This window comes from Homo sapiens, chromosome 5 (genome assembly GCF_000001405.40).
Source record: "Homo sapiens chromosome 5, GRCh38.p14 Primary Assembly".
Classification (NCBI taxonomy): Eukaryota; Metazoa; Chordata; class Mammalia; order Primates; family Hominidae; genus Homo; species Homo sapiens.
In genome coordinates, this window is record NC_000005.10 from 70,249,175 (window position 1) to 70,269,049 (window position 19,875).

Here is a 19,875-nt window from a genome sequence, read left to right on the forward strand (position 1 = left end):
AATTGAAAATACCTTGGCAAAATCTCCCAAAATTGTCTCTCAAAATAACAGTATATACAGTGTAACATACACAACATCCTGTTATACTAATGAAAAAATCTAAGAAAAACTCTATAGGATGATATTTAGATATTACAGTCACTATATTAACTATTAGGATAATGTGCCACTAATTCCCAATCGTCACTGCTTTCATGTAGTGCTTGCTCCATATTGTCTTAATGTTAATCCTTAACATACACAGCCTAACATATTTATTGATGTGAAAGTTTTTGTTTTATTTTCAACAACACGGTCTCAACCAGGGGTGATTTTCACTACCAGGGACAATTTGTCAATGTTTAGAGACAATTTTAGTTTTTACTGCTGTAGGTAGTGGAGTGTGCTATTCACATCCGGTAAGTTTAGGGCAGGAAAACTGGTAAACCTCCTATAATATGAGGCTAGAGCCCACAACAAAATTATCAGGTCCAAAAATGTCAATAGTATTGAAGGTGAGACAATTTCTAGGGAGATATTACACCTTGATATTCTCATTTAATATGCTGGTAATGTAATCCAGCATTTTTCCAAAAATGAGAATAGCCTGGTGGCCTTAAATGTCATTGTTTTACTCTTACTTACATTGGACTAAAGAATGAGATCAAATGCAGCTGAATAATTTGGATATTTAAAGCAATAACATTTTTCACTAACGCGCATAGGCTTAATGCCTGGGTGACAAAATAATCTGTATACCTATTTACCTATAGGTTTACCTATATAACAAACCTGCACATATACCCCTGAACTGAAAATAAAAGTTAATAAATAAAGTAATTACATTTGTTTAGAAATAAAATAAATTTAGAAATGGAAAATATTGTTGAAAATATTCTAAGAATTTTAAATTTATACATTAAAATAAAAATAATCTGAATATTATTACTAACAGAAAATCTTTGTCTTGATCTCAAATTCCAAGTAGAATACCTTTAGACTATCTCTAGCAATAGCTAACAGAATAAGATTTACAAATCTTGATAGATCATTTTTCATGCCTGTGTCATTTTAAAATGAATTGATGGCTGTTAAAACTTAATTTAATTTGAGTCTCTTCCGGATCATATACATAGTTTTACAGACAGCCATGTTCAATGAAATTATAATATGTAACACAAGAAATATGCCAGATGTAAAGTAAGAATCTCTTTTAAACGCTCTGATATTCAAAAATCTTTATCAGATTTCCTAAACTAACGATTTTAAACAAAACCTTTTAGTTAAGAAAGCATTGGTCTCAATAGTAAATCTGCCAATATGAATTGCTGCATTTTATTTTTGAACTTTCTAAAGGCCATCTGCCAGAGTAATTAGATATAAAATCCTGCATGCAATCTAATATTAGATGAAAAGTTTAAACTACCAATGATACAATATTGATGCACAGAGGAATGAATTGATTTTTTATGTTATTCTCAAATTGAAAGTCAATCTTTTTATAAAATAAATTTATAAATAAATCCAAATATGATATTTTAGCTCACTTTTGACAGTAGGTTTTCAGTTTCTGATGTTAACAATGGCATAATTATGATTTGCTGAATGACTTTAAAGTGATCGGATAAGGAAACAATTAGGGTTTGCAGTAGCTGGAGAAAGAAAAAAAAGAAATATTTAGATATTGCATACTCAATATGGCACATACTACGTCACAGGCTTTAATATCAGTTGACTACTCTCTTTAGAAGGAGTACGGTTTGACCTAGACCAGTTTATTTATTCATTTTTGTAATAATTTTTCCTCATTCTCTTTGACACATTGGTTAACCTAAAATTACTGTGTCGCTTAGGACATTGACTAAAAATCGTAGTCTTTCAGTTTGTGGCTGCTCACAGGATTTTTTTTTTTTTTTTGCTTTGGCTTACTAAATAATCTTTTATTGGAGTTAAAACAACAAAGCTAGTAAAGATATATAAATCAATGCCAAAAAAAAGGAGACAGGCCTACTTATATGCCATTATCTTCTGTTATTGCCGTTGGATAGAAGACAGACATTATCATTTTTAATCAATTGTATACTTCATAAATATGATACAACAGATATTTTTACTTCCAAGATTATACATAGAGTTTTTATGATTCCTTTGTGAGTGTGAACTATATAGCTGTCCCTAAAACATAATTGAGAACAGAAAGGTTTTATTTTTAATTATATAATTTTCTTGCCCAAGTTATATGGATTCATAGGTTACAGAATGTATAACAATATACATTTTTTGCATTTTTAAATTTACTGTATAATTTATTTCTGAAACCAAATTTGATATACAACTATGTAAACCATTAAATATGATCTGGATTAAAATAATCTTAACAGACAAATCCAAAAACACTGCATTTTATTATTTCTATTTCTAATGTTACCTCCAGGTTTAGACTCCCCTAAGTAATTGACTCTACCTATTATGTTTGTGTTTTGAAACATCACTCTATATTGTAACAAAAAGAAAAATGACACAATTAGTTTCCTATATGTACACAAAAATTTTCAGTTTTAAATAAGGAAATATAGTTTTGAAATTTAAAAAAGTAAATGTTATAATATTTTCTCAAATAATTTACTACTCATATTCCCATTGCTTAGTTTCATTAATTTTTACACTCACATTTTACATATCCAAGATATATTTCCAGCTTTATTTTCAGAATGAACTGCTAGGATCTTAGATGAGTTTATTATTTTGCACGAGGTGCCACTGCTTGACACCTGATTGTGTGTATACCCCCCCTTTTTTTTTTTATATACTTTTAAGTTTTAGGGTACATGTGCACAATGTGCAGGTTAGTTACATATGTATACATGTGCCATGCTGGTGTGCTGCACCCACTAACTCGTCATCTAGCATTAGGTATATCTCCGAGTGCTATCCCTCCCCCCTCCCCCCACCCCATAACAGTCCCCAGAGTGTGATGTTCCCCTTCCTGTGTCCATGTGTTCTCATTGTTCAATTCCCACCTATGAGTGAGAACATCCGGTGTTTGGTTTTTTGTCCTTGCGATAGTACTGAGAATGACGATTTCCAATTTCATCCATGTCCCTACAAAGGACATGAACTCATCATTTTTTATGGCTGCATAGTATTGCATGGTGTATATGTGCCACATTTTCTTAATCCAGTCTATCACTGTTGGACATCTGGATTGGTTCCAAGTCTTTGCTGCCCAAGGTAATTTATAGATCCAATGCCATCCCCATCAAGCTACCAATGACTTTCTTCACAGAATTGGAAATAACTACTTTAAAGTTCGTATGGAACCAAAAAAGAGCCCGCGTTGCCAAGTCAATCCTAAGCCAAAAGAACAAAGCTGGAGGCATCACGCTACCTGACTTCAAACTATACTACAAGGCTACAGTAACAAAAACAGCACGGTACTGGTACCAAAACAGAGATATAGATCAATGGGACAGAACAGAGCCCTCAGAAATAACGCCGCATATCTACAACTATCTCATCTTTGACAAACCTGAGAAAAATAAGCAATGGGGAAAGGATTCCCTATTTAATAAATGGTGCTGGGAAAACTGGCTAGCCATATGGAGAAAGCTGAAACTGGATCCCTTCCTTACACCTTATACAAAAATTAATTCAAGATGGATTAAAGACTTAAACGTTAGACCTAAAACCATAAAAACCCTAGAAGAAAACCTAGGCATTACCATTCAGGACACAGGCGTGGGCAAGGACTTCATGTCTAAAACACCAAAAGCAATGGCAACAAAAGCCAAAATTGACAAATGGGATCTAATTAAACTAAAGAGCTTCTGCACAGCAAAAGAAACTACCATCACAGTGAACAGGCAACCTACAGAATGGGAGAAAATTTTCGCAACCTACTCATCTGACAAAGGGCTAATATCCAGAATCTACAATGAACTCAAACAAATTTACAAGAAGAAAACAAACAACCCCATCAAAAAGTGGGCGAAGGACATGAACAGACACTTCGCAAAAGAAGACATTTATGCAGCCAAAAAACACATGAAAAAATGCTCACCATCACTGGCCATCAGAGAAATGCAAATCAAAACCACGATGAGATACCATCTCACACCAGTTAGAATGGCAATCATTAAAAAGTCAGGAAACAACAGGTGCTGGAGAGGATGTGGAGAAATAGGAACACTTTTATACTGTTGGTGGGACTGTAAACTAGTTCAACCATTGTCGAAGTCAGTGTGGCGATTCCTCAGGGATCTAGAACTAGAAATACCATTTGACCCAGCCATCCCATTACTGGGTATATACCCAAAGGATTATAAATCATGCTGCTATAAAGACACATGCACACGTATGTTTATTGCGGCACTATTCACAATACCCCATTCTTTAGACTTTTAAAATCAATACCCACTCTTCCCCACGAACAAGAGAAAGTAAAAACAACTAACAGTGGATTTCTGTATCACGATGACTCATTTTCAATAGAACACTACCATAGGTCAAATGGATGAATGCATAAATAATGAATGGATTAATATCTTTTACATAATCATGTGCCACATAACAACGTTTACATCAATAAGAGACAGCATGTAAAACAATGGCTCATTAAGATTATAATAGGGTTGAAAAATTGCTATCACCATTATAGATTGATCACTCTATGAAGTTTGCACAGTAAGATAATCACCTAGCCACACACTTCTCAGAACATATCCTCATTGCTAAGTGACACAAGGCTATATTTCATTTAATGATTGCGTAAATAGTTGTTGAGAAAAATCTGCACTCTAAGTACCAGGATAAAAGAGATTAATAATAAATTAATGATTAAATGCACCATGATCAATCTTATCATTGAGGTCTATATGCTACATTTGGATTACATCGTAAAGGCAGAGGTTAATCATCGCAACTTACACAACAGGATACAGAGTGGATCAGCAGATAATTACATAATAGAATACAGTTTGAAACCTGCAAGATGCATTAGAATTAATTAGAATCAAACCATATGTGTGACTTTGGTTTAAATGTGCAAAACCTATTAATATAGATATAGCCAGGACATTTCTATTGTGTGTGTGTGTATATATATATATATATATATATATATATATATAGTGTGTATCTATATATATACACACACATATACATTTATATATACATACATACATATATATAATATATAATATATATATATATATATATATATATATATATATTTTTTTTTTTTTTTTTTTTTTTTTTTTTTTTGTGATGGAGTTTCGCTCTTGCTGCCCAGGCTGGAGTGCAATGGCATGGTTTCAGCTCACTGCAACCTCCGCTTCCAAGGTTCAAGCAATTCTCCTGCCTCAGCCTCCCAAGTGGCTGGAATTACAGGGGCCAACCACCACACCAGGCATATCTTTGTATTTTTAGTAGAAACTGCTTTCACCATGTTGGCCAGGCTGGTCTCGAACTCCTGACCTCAAGTGATCTACCCCCTCGGCCTCCCAAAGTGCTGGGATTACAGGTGTGAGTCACTGTACCCAGTTTGTCTTTATAAATCTTATAGAAATATTTAACTTTTAAAATCAACCACACACAATTAAGACTTTGATAAAAGTAATTAAGAAGTAAAGCAATGGAAAAAGCAATTTTTAAAAACATATATGAATGATTGAAAGCCAGGAGTAAAATTAAGAATTGTATTAAAATATCACTATTAAAATTAGCTACATAAATATTTAATTAATGCAGCTAAATTGTTAACAAAATTTACAGAAGAAAAGTATGTTAACATTACTGAATCATCTTAAAATCTTATTAAAATTTAAAGTTCTTCTCAACTGAAATCATATCACAGAAAAAAATAATGTCACCTTAAAAAGTTTAGGATTAGAAATACATAATTATTTTTAAATATAGTCTTTATATATTAATTATATTTCATTAATGTCTTATTTCTTGAATAAACTTTTTTCATGATACTATTTAAGTGCCACATTCTACAATAATATGGAAAACAATTCTACAAAATGTGGCATACAGTAATTGATAGGTAGTATAGCACACCTTTTATCTTTATAGCAAAAACATAATGTGTAAATTAATATAACACTAAGTCCCATATTGTCATTTTTTGTCAAAGAGCTATCTCCTTGAAAACCATCATCCTCAGATGCATCTCTAACTTCAAAAAGACCTTAGAAACTGTAACAATTGTAAATGCGTTATAACTTAAAGAGATATTATCTTCACATTAGAGGCTAACAGGCTTATACCTACTGATAGCTGACAAGTATTATAGGAATCCTGGCAGGCAAATTGTTGCATAAAAATTATGTAATTTACTAACTGTAAAATAACCTTTAGAGTTTAGAATCAGTCAGATAAGTAGAACAGACAATTGTTATCAAAGCCATATAAATGGCTATTAAAATTATTTTTTGCTACCCTCATTTTATCTCTGAAGAGACATCTTGTTAAAAAATGAATAACAGACACATATAAATACCTAATTACAAGCAGAGTTAAGATTAAAATTCAGCCTCATTAGGGGTGGGATAGAAATCAGTACACTAAAGAATATTTTGGTGCAGGTAGTTTGTTTCAAATGATTCAACCTTCAACATTACTTCACTTAAATTTTAGCAAACTTTCTGCTATAATTTAAGCATACAGACCTATGACACTAGACATATGTCCTGTGTAAGCCTGGGCTAGGGGAGCTCTATTTAATACTTACATAAACCCCAAAGATGTCCTAAGAAATAAAATTTGGAAAAACTTTGATGTGCTACAGCACGGATTTTCTCCTACAGCAACAGAGCAGACACTTGAATGTAGTTATACTCCTGCTTTCCACCTCCCTGTCAAAACAATAAAAAAGGCCACAGGCCTGTGGTTCTGGCCTCCAGGGAACTGGTGGCTTCTTTAACCCACACTGCTGCTGCTGAATCCCATTTAGGTTTAGGGTTTATTTTGTATATGCCTTTGTACAGGCTAAATGCTGGTCTAGTTGAAAATCAACCTAAAACAACCTTAATAGCATCTCATTTTATTGTGACTTTACTTTTTGTGTTGTTTGGTGTTTTACTTTTGGAGACAGAGTCTTAATCTGTCACCAAGGCTGGAGTGCAGTGGCATGATTATGGCTCAACCTCCAGGCTCAAGTGACCCTCCCACTTCAGCCACCTGAGTAGCTGATACCACAGGAACATGCCACCACATAAGGCTAACTTAAAGAACATTTTTTTAGATGGGATCTCACTATGTTGCCCAGGCTGATCTTGAGCTCTTTGCCCCAAGCAATCCTCCCACCTTGGCCTCCCAAAGTGCAGGGATTATAGGTGTGAGCCACTATGCCAGGCCTCTCTCATGACTTTAAACTTGAACATGCTTTTGTGCTGTGGCCGAGTTTAGGATCCCAACCAGCCTGTGATTACTGTGGTCACCACACAGATTCCCTCTTGTTCCATCTTTTATATTCCATCTTCTCACTCTCATAACTGTGTGGATAGGAAAACAATTATCCATACAGGTATGATATTGGCAGAGAAAATCACAAAATGTTTTAATGAGCAAACACTTTGGGGATGGTAATAATCTTTCTACCACCTTCATTGTCTTGTTTAAGTATCTCTACATTCTTCTTTAAAAATTAGGAATATATCTTTCTTGCTCTTTCGTTGTTGTTGAACACCAGAAGGGGATATTCCTTAATTCTCTCTCCATAGCTAAGGACAGTACAGCACAATATTCCATTCAGCAGGTGAAGTCAGTATGAATGAATGCATTTCAATCAGCAAATTGCTGGTTGTGTTGCAACTCCTAGTTATGATGTTTTGTGTACTTTGAAGGGCTCCCATTAATTAAGGTATTTCTTATAAGCATTCAGAAAGTTTCTTTTCTTGGCATGCGACTTGAAAATTTGTCCTGATATTTTCCCTGTGACAATGTTTTGTGAATTGTAACTCAGCCACTTAAGTGGCTCCTCATAATAAAGCCACATGGTATCCATGTACACATATTTAACAAATCAAAGAAGTGGTTCTCAACCTAATCTCTAGAGGAGGTCCTTCTTGTTCACTTTCAATAACTATGTTGAAGAATAGATTCTAAAAAGCTATCACCAAATTTTCGAATATGTTTTGAAATTTGTGTCCACAAAATCTATAAATCAATAAATGTATAGAATAGAGCATAATAATCCAATTAACAAATTTAAGATGTCATCTAAGCAGGAATGAATGCAATAAATAGGCCTTCTTACTTCAAAATCAACTGCAGAGGTAATGCATTGCCACTAGACTTGTGTGCTGTGTTGGTAATAAATTAACAAAAACTTTGGGGATAAGAAAAATCTGCAAATAAAATGGTGTGTCATTTGTGAAATATAATCACAAAAATGTTCAGATTGTTATAATTAACAGAAAAACTATTGTTTTTATTATATCCAGTGTTTAACAGACACTATTCATGTATACATACAACATTCTTATAATAACTCTTGTGTCCATGTAAATAGCAGTCTTGCCAAAAAGAATTGACTATCATGTAGTAGTTTGTAAGTATTTTCATGCATAGGCTGCAACCCTTTAGAGTGCTATTCTAATAAATTATTAATATTAACTTGATGAACACAATTCTAAGACATTTCATTTGAGGATATGTTTATTAACTATTAGGTTGGTACAAAAGGCATTGCGTTTTTTGCCATTACTTTCAATAAAAAATAGAACCAGCATTTAGAAATCTACTTTCAGAAACTTAATAAAATGAGAATTTGTCCTCTTTTACATATAGGAAGCCTGCATAATAAGCATTCTGTTGCTAGTACATAAGCTTCCCATTTTCATCAGGAAACTATACACTTACATTTCACTTTTACTAACTTCAATGCATGACTTCTACCTTCAAGGTGATTTCATGCTTCTAGCCACCATGTCTGTACTCCAGGACAGCAGCACAAAGTGTAGAAAAATAAAAAAGACATACCTCCCTAATGAGTCAACTGCACTTAAGGAGCCATCCCAGAAGTTTCACACGGCTTATTTGAATACAGCTATATCCAGATGCAAGGAATGCTGGGAAATGTGGTATTGTGCGCAGCTAAAGTTGGGATTATGTTAGTGAAAATGAGACCACGAACATTGGAAGGTTAAAAGCAATCTCTCATGACATATACAATTACAGAAATTAAATTAAATCTTTAAGCAATGTGATAAACCTATGGAATGTTAACAGGCAAAAATAGCAACATTAAAAATTACAGTGAGGGAATAAGGTATGATTCGTTTGTAGATGGTTTGTGTGTCATTAATCTAGGCAAAAAGTCATAAACTCCTCTAACAGTGACCACATGTATAAAAGAAATAATAATACACACTATGGCTAACAACATTCCATTTTGGCCTATTTACTGTTGTTAAGTCTCTATGGTTAGCATCAGAAATGTACAGTTTTGATAGCCTATGACCTCAACATGTTCAGTTTGATAGTAGAAAGGACAACATAAAGACAAACCAATCAACAAATAAGAATAAAAACTGTTAAAAAAAGGACAATATTATCATAAGAACATAAGGATGTGATAATGTATTTGACATATCGTTTATTTATTGTTTTATAGTTGGATAATACATATAAATTTACTGCTCCTTCAATGTTAGAATCAATAGAATCATAGCAGAAGTAATTAAGCAGATAAAGATCAAAACGTCACCTTTATTACTTACTGTTTGAAAAATAGTCTAAGGCTGGTTTTACAGGGTTGCTCCTATCCATCACCTGATGTGAAGTTTCTTAGGAAGCTTCAGGACTACACCAAAGAAGCAGAACCTGCTCTTTCACTCTGTTGCATTGTGTGGAGTGCAGGCCATCATGACTGCTCTCTACAAGAAAAAGAAAGGAAATAATTAAGAAACGCACAAAAGTTTGTGAATTGAGAATCCCAAAATAGGTATGAAATTGGTTAGCTTTCTAAATTCACCAATCTCATAACTAACACCTGTCCCCATGCAGTGAATGAGTAAAGGATGGACAGACTCCATAATGATTATTCTAGGGAAAGCCTTCTGAGTAGAAAGAGGAGAGTTTTGCAAACAGTTTTGTAGAGTTTACTCTTGTTTATGCACTGATAATAAATAAGAGTTCCTAAAATTCTCTCTAGAACTCTAGGTAAATGAGATATTTCACCGCTCATGCTGTGTGACCTTCATGTCCCATCTGCCTAGACTGTAAATATGCTTTCTGAAGTTTAAAAGAATTAGTATACTATGCTTACATTAAGCAAAAAAGTACCCTTATTATGCAGGATCAAGTAACACTCTAAAGATTCATGTTTATGAAAAAACACTGATGATTCTATTTTATTATGTGTCTTCTAAAGAGAAAAATACTTGTGCTCTGCAGCATAATTTTACAATGTGCTATTCTAAATACTTTCATTTAAACAAGACCATTATGAAAATGTTTTGCACACAGAAATATATTTTGAATACTTTTTTAAAAAGATCACAAAGTATATGGTCTCTGTACGTGTTCAATTATTTTAATGCTTTCACTATAACAGGAATTCTTAAAGAGGATATGTACTTGCATAATGCTGATAATTCTTTCTCATTTCTGTTTGTGCTTTGGCTGTTGTTACAACCACTGAAAGTAGTAATTACATGAGTGTATTATCCATGATTATCTTTAGATATATGTGCATTTTCTTTAATTAAACTATAAACTCTAAATGAAAAATAAAAAAGAAGTCACCTCTTGTCTCTTTGTACAATATTAAAATTTTTTTCTTGTATCCAGAGTTTCCCAAATGCCTGTTGCAAAATTTTACTTAGGGAGTAGAAAGTGGAGAATCAATATGGTAAAAAAAACTGTGTTACAGGGAAGGAGACACAGGGTAAGCATTTTCCTTATCTTCTCTCCTGTATCTACGTGCTGCACAAGCATAAATGATAGCAGTCACATGAACGAGTACTTTTCAAGAACGTAGAATATGGTGATGGAAAAAAAAAACCGCTTTGAAACATCGAATAATATAAAAGCCAGAACTACTACAACTATTTTTTACATCCATAGAAGGTAAACTATTTTTAGATATAAAATTCCTTCTGACGGTAGTCCTGATCATTTAACCAATATTTTGATAAATCAAAGAAGGGAAAAATGGACATTCAGTCCAAAGATGGGCATGTATTCCCATGCCCAGTCAGGCAAAACTTGTGGATGTTCTTTAAAATAACAATTCATTCAACAAATAATTTTTAAATGGCTACTGAATACCTGGAAAGGTTCTAGACACAGGGGCTATAGTAAGAAACAAGAAGGAACTAATTGACAAGAATGTGCTCACCGACAATGAAACATCTCCTCATGGAGCTTGAGTTCTGTTTGAAAAGACAGAGAACAAAAAAATATTATTGCACAGAGTGTTAGTTATGTGTGAATTAAAAGACTGGTCAGTACTTGAAGGAGAAGGAGTGACAACAAATCTCACTTCCAGTTCTATTTACCTGAACAGATTAATTCTATTTTGTTTCAATGCAACAGTAGTCCTACGGTTAACAAGATGCACTACACAAAGCAAACAACTTATAAAACGCATTTTTTCCTTATATTGCAAATCAATTTTAAGTGGATCTACAAATATACAATAAATAATATAAATTACGGATCGTTTGTTTCTAAGGTAATAAGTACATTTGTTAATTTCACATAAATAATTTCAGAAGGAGAGCAAATGTAAAAATGTGTTTTAGACAGTGGAGATGCCATTTTATTGTAAGACTATTTATACTCAAAGGACAAAGTAATCAGCTTTCTATGTCAATGATCGTCCTTCTCTATTTCACCCAGTTCCAGACAAACCCAAGTCTTCCAAGTCTCTTCATATATCTGATCCAATAAAATCTATAATGAGTTCAGTTAGCATACACACACACACACACACACACCACACACACACAAGCACACAAACACACACACACGACTGCATTGAAATACTTGCTCTAGGGAAGGAACATAGTGTATATGCAACTTGTGTACTTTCTAAGTATGGGAAGACTAATCCTTTAACAACTGCATTTACTTTCTTTCACTTCTATCGTTGCTATCTACTCCTCAGAAATCTACTTAAACAACCAATAAATATATATGATGTTGTTATGAGAGTTTTGGAAATAATTCCTAAAAATTTGCATGGTTGCCTCTTTATATTTGGCAGCTTCTATCACCCATGGGAACAACCCCTACAGAATGATCAGAATATAAAGCATGTGAGCCCTGGGTTTCTCAGGCACTGGAAGGACCTGTCAGAATCCTCTCAGGTGGGTCAAAATGGCCAGGCTTTATAACCTCATCTCCATTCGTGTTTGCATGTCCAGTGCTCCAGGATGCCCTAACATTGAGCCAGACAATGGTTACAGCTGAGGCAAACTTTGAAGGAGCTGAGAGCTGAAGGCTGCTTTGTAATATTGCTCCTAGCAGCCAAGGGGGAAAGAAATCTTTTCTTGAAGAGCGATCTGTGTCCATAGCAAAATGTTTTTTTCTTAGCTCTTGTAAAATCGAAATTGTTTGCTTTTGAATTTTTTTAAATGATTCCTTTAAGATTCTTAATACCAAGATATCACAAGGTCAAGGAATTTTATAAAGAAGTATTTCTATTTATGTAATTTCCTAAATTTATCTATACACAAATCAGCACTAAAACATGCCTTTGATACTAACAACTTGATCGGTTTGTGAACCAAATCTGTCATGCAAATACATACGGCTGTTTTTAGATAAATTCTAAAGGTATTACCAAATCATTTAATTTTATTGTGTATCTCAATATTCTGGTTGATGTATAAGTTTAAATAGAACAAACTATTTGACATTGAAATGTTCTTTATCAAAGGAGAAGGAATACAATTTTAAAGCCACAACGAGTGACACATAGTTCTGAATGATTTATTGGCTGTCTGCCATTCTGAAATGGCTGCCAGTCAATGTTACATGTGACATCTTTCAGATAGTGTGAACTCTTTTATGCAAGCACCTTTCACTATAAAATTACAGCTGGAGATCATGAAGAGAAAAGTGTGGTGTTTATCTTAATGGGCTGAAAGACCTATTTCAACAGTTACAGTAATTCAGAAAAATAGTCTGAAGTCTAGTATTTCAATAATGTTATTTTCATAGATTTTAATCTCTAAAGACAATGCTTCACTTTTGTAGAAAATGACTTTTCTAATCATCCTGGATTTCAAAATTCTTTCCATTACTTAATATTTAAATCACTGGCAGAACTTGGCATGAGGACTAGAGAGCTGTCACCAAGCAGCCAGTCATTTTTCTTGGCTTCCCATATGCCATGCCCAGCAATAGAGCATTTCTTAGTAGCTGAGGAATAGCAGCAGTGCTAAACACAGAGATGACATTAACAGGAATGAGAGGGTCCAAGCTGTTTTCCTAGACTAATTCTCATTCAGCCTGAATTCAAAGCATTTTCCTATCATTATCATAGATATTTCGCTTGTGGTATTATCTATCTTTTGGCAATGTTGATTTTTTTCTGATTATCCAAATAAGTAATGTTAATGGAAAAAATCAGATATTAGGGGAAAAAAAACTCTAGAAATAAATGTTAACCCAAGACAATAACAATTCAATTAATTTATATGATACCTTAGGGATTGTGTCAATTATTTTTTAAATGAAATTCAAAAAATTCAACACCTGTGTTTTCTCCTACGATTACAAATTCAACTAGGGCACAATTGTAAATGGTTGTATTTGGTTGAATTTTTAGATTGTTTATAAGTTTTACTCTTGCAGACAATAATAATGGAGTTTCTTTGAAAATAAATTTAGTTGTTCTATAACCAAGGCATAAATATTCAATTCAATAAAATTAGCAAAAATATTAAATGAAAAGTATATTATATATAAAATGCATAAATAAAATATCCTGCACTGATCATTTTATGTCTATGGTTACCCTACTGATTCTGTGCACATTTGCATATGGGTATATATGCAATTTTATACAATGAAGTATTAATAGTGTACATAAATTTAGTAATTATTTTACCCCTTAAAAGTATATGCAATGAGTGTCACTTATATATAAATTCTGTTAACGTGGAAGAAGAATGTTAGTCAAAAAAACTACGAATTTAACAATTTTCTGGTTAATTCAAAGGGCTTTCCAAAAATGTCTTTTAAAATTCAATTTCATTTATTTTCTCATAGCAGAATATGAGAATGAATCTTTTTTGCTGCAAATTGGCTAGCAATAAATTTTTATTTTTATTATTTTAATTCTGTGAATTTCGGGAATGGAGTCTCATTCAGTATAAATATTATAATACTAATGAGATTGACTCCCTCCTTCTTATTAACAGTGTGCATTTTTACCCTCCGTGATTCAGTGCATGGTGTAGTGCTATAATTAAAAATGAACATTTTTTTTAAAATTTTATTATTATTATATTTCAAGTTTTAGGGTACATGTGCACAATGTGCAGGTTAGTTACATATGTATACATGTGCCATGCTGGTGTGCTGCACCCATTAACTCGTCATTTAGCATTAGATATATCTCCTAATGCTTTCCCTCCCCCCTTCCCCCACCCCACAACAGTCCCCAGCGTGTGGTGTTCCCCTTCCTGTGTCCATGTGTTCTCATTGTTCAATTCCCACCTATGAGTGAGAACATGCGATCTTAGGGTTTTTGTCCTTGTGATAGTTTACTGAGAATGATGATTTCCAATTTCATCCATGTCCCTACAAAGGACATGAACTCATCATTTTTTATGGCTGCACAGTATTCCATGGTGTATATGTGCCACATTTTCTTAATCCAGTCTATCATTGTTGGATATTTGGGTTGGTTCCAAGTCTTTGCTATTGTGAATAGTGCCGCAATAAACATACGTGTGCATGTGTCTTTATAGCAGCATGATTTATAGTCCTTTGGGTATATACCCAGTAATGGGATGGCTGGGTCAAATGGTATTTCTAGTTCTAGATCCCTGAGGAATCGCCACACTGACTTCCACAATGGTTGAACTAGTTTACAGTCCCACCAACAGTGGAAAAGTGTTCCTATTTCTCCACATCTTCTGCAGCACCTGTTGTTTCCTGACGTTTTAATGATTGCCATTCTAACTGGTGTGAGATGGTATCTCACTGTGGTTTTGATTTGTCCTCTCTCACCACTCCTATTCAACATAGTGTTGGAAGTTCTGGCCAGGGCAATTAGGCAGGAGAAGGAAAGAAAGGGTATTCAATTAGGAAAAGAGGAAGTCAAATTGTCCCTGCTTGCAGATGACACGATTGTATATCTAGAAAACCCCATTGTCTCAGCCCAAAATCTCCTTAAGCTGATGAGCAACTTCAGCAAAGTCTCAGGTTACAAAATCAATGTACAAAAATCACACGCATTTGTATACACCAATAACAGACAGTCAGAGAGCCAAATCATGAGTGAACTCCCATTCACAATTGCTTCAAAGAGAATAAAATACCTAGGAATCCAACTTACAAGGGATGGGAAGGACCTCTTCAAGAAGAACTACAAACCACTGCTCAATGAAATAAAAGAGGATACAAAGAAATAGAAGAACATTCCATGCTCATGGGTAGGAAGAATCAATATCGTGAAAATGGCCATACTGCCCAAGGTAATTTATAGATTCAATGCCATCCCCATCAAGCTACCAATGACTTTCTTCACAGAATTGGAAATAACTACTTTAAAGTTCGTATGGAACCAAAAAAGAGCCCGCGTTGCCAAGTCAATCCTAAGCCAAAAGAACAAAGCTGGAGGCATCACGCTACCTGACTTCAAACTATACTACAAGGCTACAGTAACAAAAACAGCACGGTACTGGTACCAAAACAGAGATATAGATCAATGGAACAGAACAGAGCCCTCAGAAATAACGCCGCATATCTACAACTATCTCATCTTTGACAAACCTGAGAAAAATAAGCAATGGGGAAAGGATTCCCTATTTAATAAATGGTGCTGGGAAAACTGGCTAGCCATATGGAGAAAGCTGAAACTGGATCCCTTCCTTACACCTTATACAAAAATTAATTCAAGATGGATTAAAGACTTAAACGTTAGACCTAAAACCATAAAAACCCTAGAAGAAAACCTAGGCATTACCATTCAGGACACAGGCGTGGGCAAGGACTTCATGTCTAAAACACCAAAAGCAATGGCAACAAAAGCCAAAATTGACAAATGGGATCTAATTAAACTAAAGAGCTTCTGCACAGCAAAAGAAACTACCATCACAGTGAACAGGCAGCCTACAGAATGGGAGAAAATTTTCACAATCTACTCATCTGACAAAGGGCTAATATCCAGAATCTACAATGAACTCAAACAAATTTACAAGAAAAAAACAAACAACCCCATCAAAAAGTGGGCGAAGGACATGAACAGACACTTCTCAAAAGAAGATATTTATGCAGCCAAAAAACACATGAAGAAATGCTCACCATCACTGGCCATCAGAGAAAAATGAACATTTCAAAGATGTGCTTCCAAATGCCAAATCATCACTAAAAAGCTCTGTGGCATAGAGGAAATTTCACAACCTTTTAGCGCCTCAATTTTGTGGAAGAATGGTTAGGAGGCTATTGCAATAACAAAAGAAAATTTGAATAGCTGTATCCAACATGAAAAGATTGCTAGTAGAATTAAATGAGTTACTATAGGTAAAACAATCAGGGAAGTAATTAAAGAGAATCTGCACTAACATTGTTTTATTAATTTAAAATATCTGTACACAATCCTTTGACTCATTTGGAATTAGTTTTAGTGTATTTTAGAAAATAAGGTTTATTTTTTATTTTCTCCCAAAACAATTCTTCAAGACAACTTTTCGAACAGTAAATTCCTTCTTTGTTTATAATATGTATTTTAATAAAGTCACTTATCTTCATGATTTCTAGGACATCGGTTCTATCTAATCTATTGTTCAGCATTCGTCTGAGTATTTTCTGAGCAGCAATTAACCCCTCTGTACCTCTGAGTGCCCACATTTCCTTGATCCATTTCACCTTGCTGATCAATCCTTCTTTACTCATAGTCTAAATTTTTTTTTTAGAACTTCTGAGAGTGCCTCAAACCTTGGTCTTGGGTCTTCCTTCAATCTTATTTGTCTTTCCACCTGATCTTAATTATTTACATCACATTATACCCTATCTTTATGGTGACAAATCTCAAAATTATCTCTCTGACCTAAACTTATCATTAAAGATTTGGTTGCAACTTATTAAGAAGTCAGGTTCAATGTAATACATGCATTGTTGATTTAATATGCTCATCAAAATACTTAAAATTTTATTTGAATGCAAAAAAATAAAGCTTTTAATTTTATCTCCTATTTAATAATTTTGACAAAAACATTATACCAATCATTACTAATTATTGCTGGCTTTTAAAATATTATCTGATTAAATATTTTTGACTTGGAAAAATGGTAACAAATGCTTCTCTCTTTCTTGTCCCCTTGAACCATACTTGATATATTGCTTTTTCCAAATCCGGGCCACAAGTTCAGAATATAGCCTGTTAAAATATCTTCTATGTATAAACTATCTTTAAATTTTCTTGAGAGAATACTGAGTAACCAAAAGCATTGCTCCTTCACCCTACAAAAGAGAGAAAAATTAAAAAATCACATTAATTTGTAATTTTAAATGGTAATTAAAGCTATTGTGAGGGCTCTTTTATCGGCCAAACTTGTGAACAAAAAACAGCTCAAATTTATGTGTAAATAAAATATATTGAGATGAAGCCTTTCATTCAATGTGTGATTTTCAGTTCAAAAAAACACACTGATGTTCAAGAACAAAGACTGGTACAATAACTATCTACAAAATGCTTTTGTTACTAGATTTTAATTCCTTCATCAAACAGACACAGTCAAAGTTGATAGTGTCACTAGATCTAGAGGTCTATCAATATCCTTCCCACCATTTAATATGTTCTTAATCTCAGGGAAATTCTAAATCATATTCTTCTAAATTGTACAGTTGACTCCTGAAAAACACAAGGTTTAGGGCCATCAAACCTCCCTAACCCCTCCCCACCACCCCAGCACAGTCAAAAATTCACATATAACTTTGGACTCCCCAAAACTAAACTAACAGCCTACTGTTGACTGGACAATCCTTAACACATATTTCATACGCTGTATGTATTTTACAACGTAGTTTTACAATGAAGCTAGTTACAGAAAAGAAAGTGTTATTAAGAAAATTATAGGGAAGAAAAAATACGTTTACAGTACTACAGTATATTTATTTCTCTCATAAGTTTACAATCCTGTGTTTACAAGATGGATCCTTCTTCTGAAATGGCAGCACACACAGCTGCAGGCCTCAATCTAGGGTACCTATCAAGCAATTCATTGTTTTCCTGTAATGTCAGGACCCTTCTCTGTTTCCTGGAAGAACTTTCAGCATCACTAGCAGCACTTTTTATAGGTCTGAAGGTGTTATTCAAGGTTTATGGTATTGCACTAGACATCATGAATAATACAGGAGAAACATGAGAGAACACTTTTTACTGTGTTAATTTACTGGAGAGACAAGCTACTCACAAGAAGATGATTAGCATTATGTGGCATTTTAAGTGAATACTCACAACACTTGAGTTCACTGCAAGAACAACAGGTGGAGGCTAGGAAATTATCCCAGTAGTACAGTATGTACTACAGTTAATTTTGTGCAGTTATGATTTACTTTTGTATATTTTTGTTTTACTTTTCTCTAAACTTCAATTGGCTGCATGTATGCTCTGTGTTTGCCTACGTCTTGATAAATTTTAACTTTTTATAATAGACGCATATATATCTCATTGTATTAAATGATCACTAGTATCTACATATGATTTATGCATTCATGACATCGTTTTCTTAGTTTTTTAATATTTCTTGTGTAGATGGGTCACCTGTTATCTTTTTCAATTTTTCATAAATCTCCAAAAATTTTCTAATATATTTATAGGAAAAAATCTACATATGAGCAGACCTGCACAGTTCAAACCTGTGTTGTTGAGGAGTCAACTATATATTATAATTTAAGAGAGGATTCAACTCTTTCATTCTACTGGCAATGGGTTAACATAAACTTTAGTCAGAACTGCTGAGCTTTTCTGGCACAATGAGGACAAATTGACCAATGTATTTAACCAATAGCTGGGGGAAAATTTTGCTAAAATTGGTAAGTATATCTTTATATAACTATATCCTTACAACTTGTCTCAACCTTCGTCAGATTAATCCTAACAAAACTGTAAAATGTCTCAGTAAAAATCTAAATGAATTTTTCATAACAAGTGCTGGCAATAGATTTTAAATATGTTCTGATCATTATTTGTCTCTTGTTGGCATGGAGAAAATCCTTTTTTTTTTTTTTCAGCCTGGGGAATCCCAAACTATATCTCTAGTAACAAGGAAACCATTTTACCGGAATTTTTATTAACATGGAAAAGTTCTGTCAATTAATCAGACTTCACTGTCCATATCACTTTCAACCTTTTGGGAAGGTAGAAAGATGGAATTCTGAAACTAAAGTTGGTAAAGTTCACAGACATCGTCAAACTTGCATGGTCTAAGGTATTTCTTCTTTCTGTGGTTCATGAGTTAGTAACAGCTAAACCAAGTGTCTAGGAATATTAGCTCTGATTCTAGAAATCTACACTTATTTAACTAAATGCTGTAAGGACTCAGGAAATCCATTCTTTCAACAAAAGTTACTGAAGACTTTCCCCATTAGTATCCTAAACAATGTCTGCAAAATTGGTTTTCATACCTGGATACCTTGTCTTCTAAGAGACACGGCAGGGAAAGATCATAGGAAAAAAGTCACTATCAGGCACAGCTAACAACT

At 33.7% G+C, this 19,875-nt stretch overlaps 1 pseudogene across 1 annotated transcript in view; it reads right to left on the reverse strand.

Moving 5' to 3' along the window:
- GUSBP14 (GUSB pseudogene 14) overlaps positions 1-19,875 on the reverse strand; it is a 162,716-nt pseudogene that overhangs the window by 121,713 nt on the left and 21,128 nt on the right. Inside the window, exons 2-3 of the transcript NR_029426.1 lie at positions 11,330-11,363; positions 9,708-9,863 (exon numbers count right to left, since the gene is read on the reverse strand). The product of NR_029426.1 is annotated as a GUSB pseudogene 14, transcript variant 1 (transcript). The remainder of the gene's footprint in view (positions 1-9,707; positions 9,864-11,329; positions 11,364-19,875) is intronic.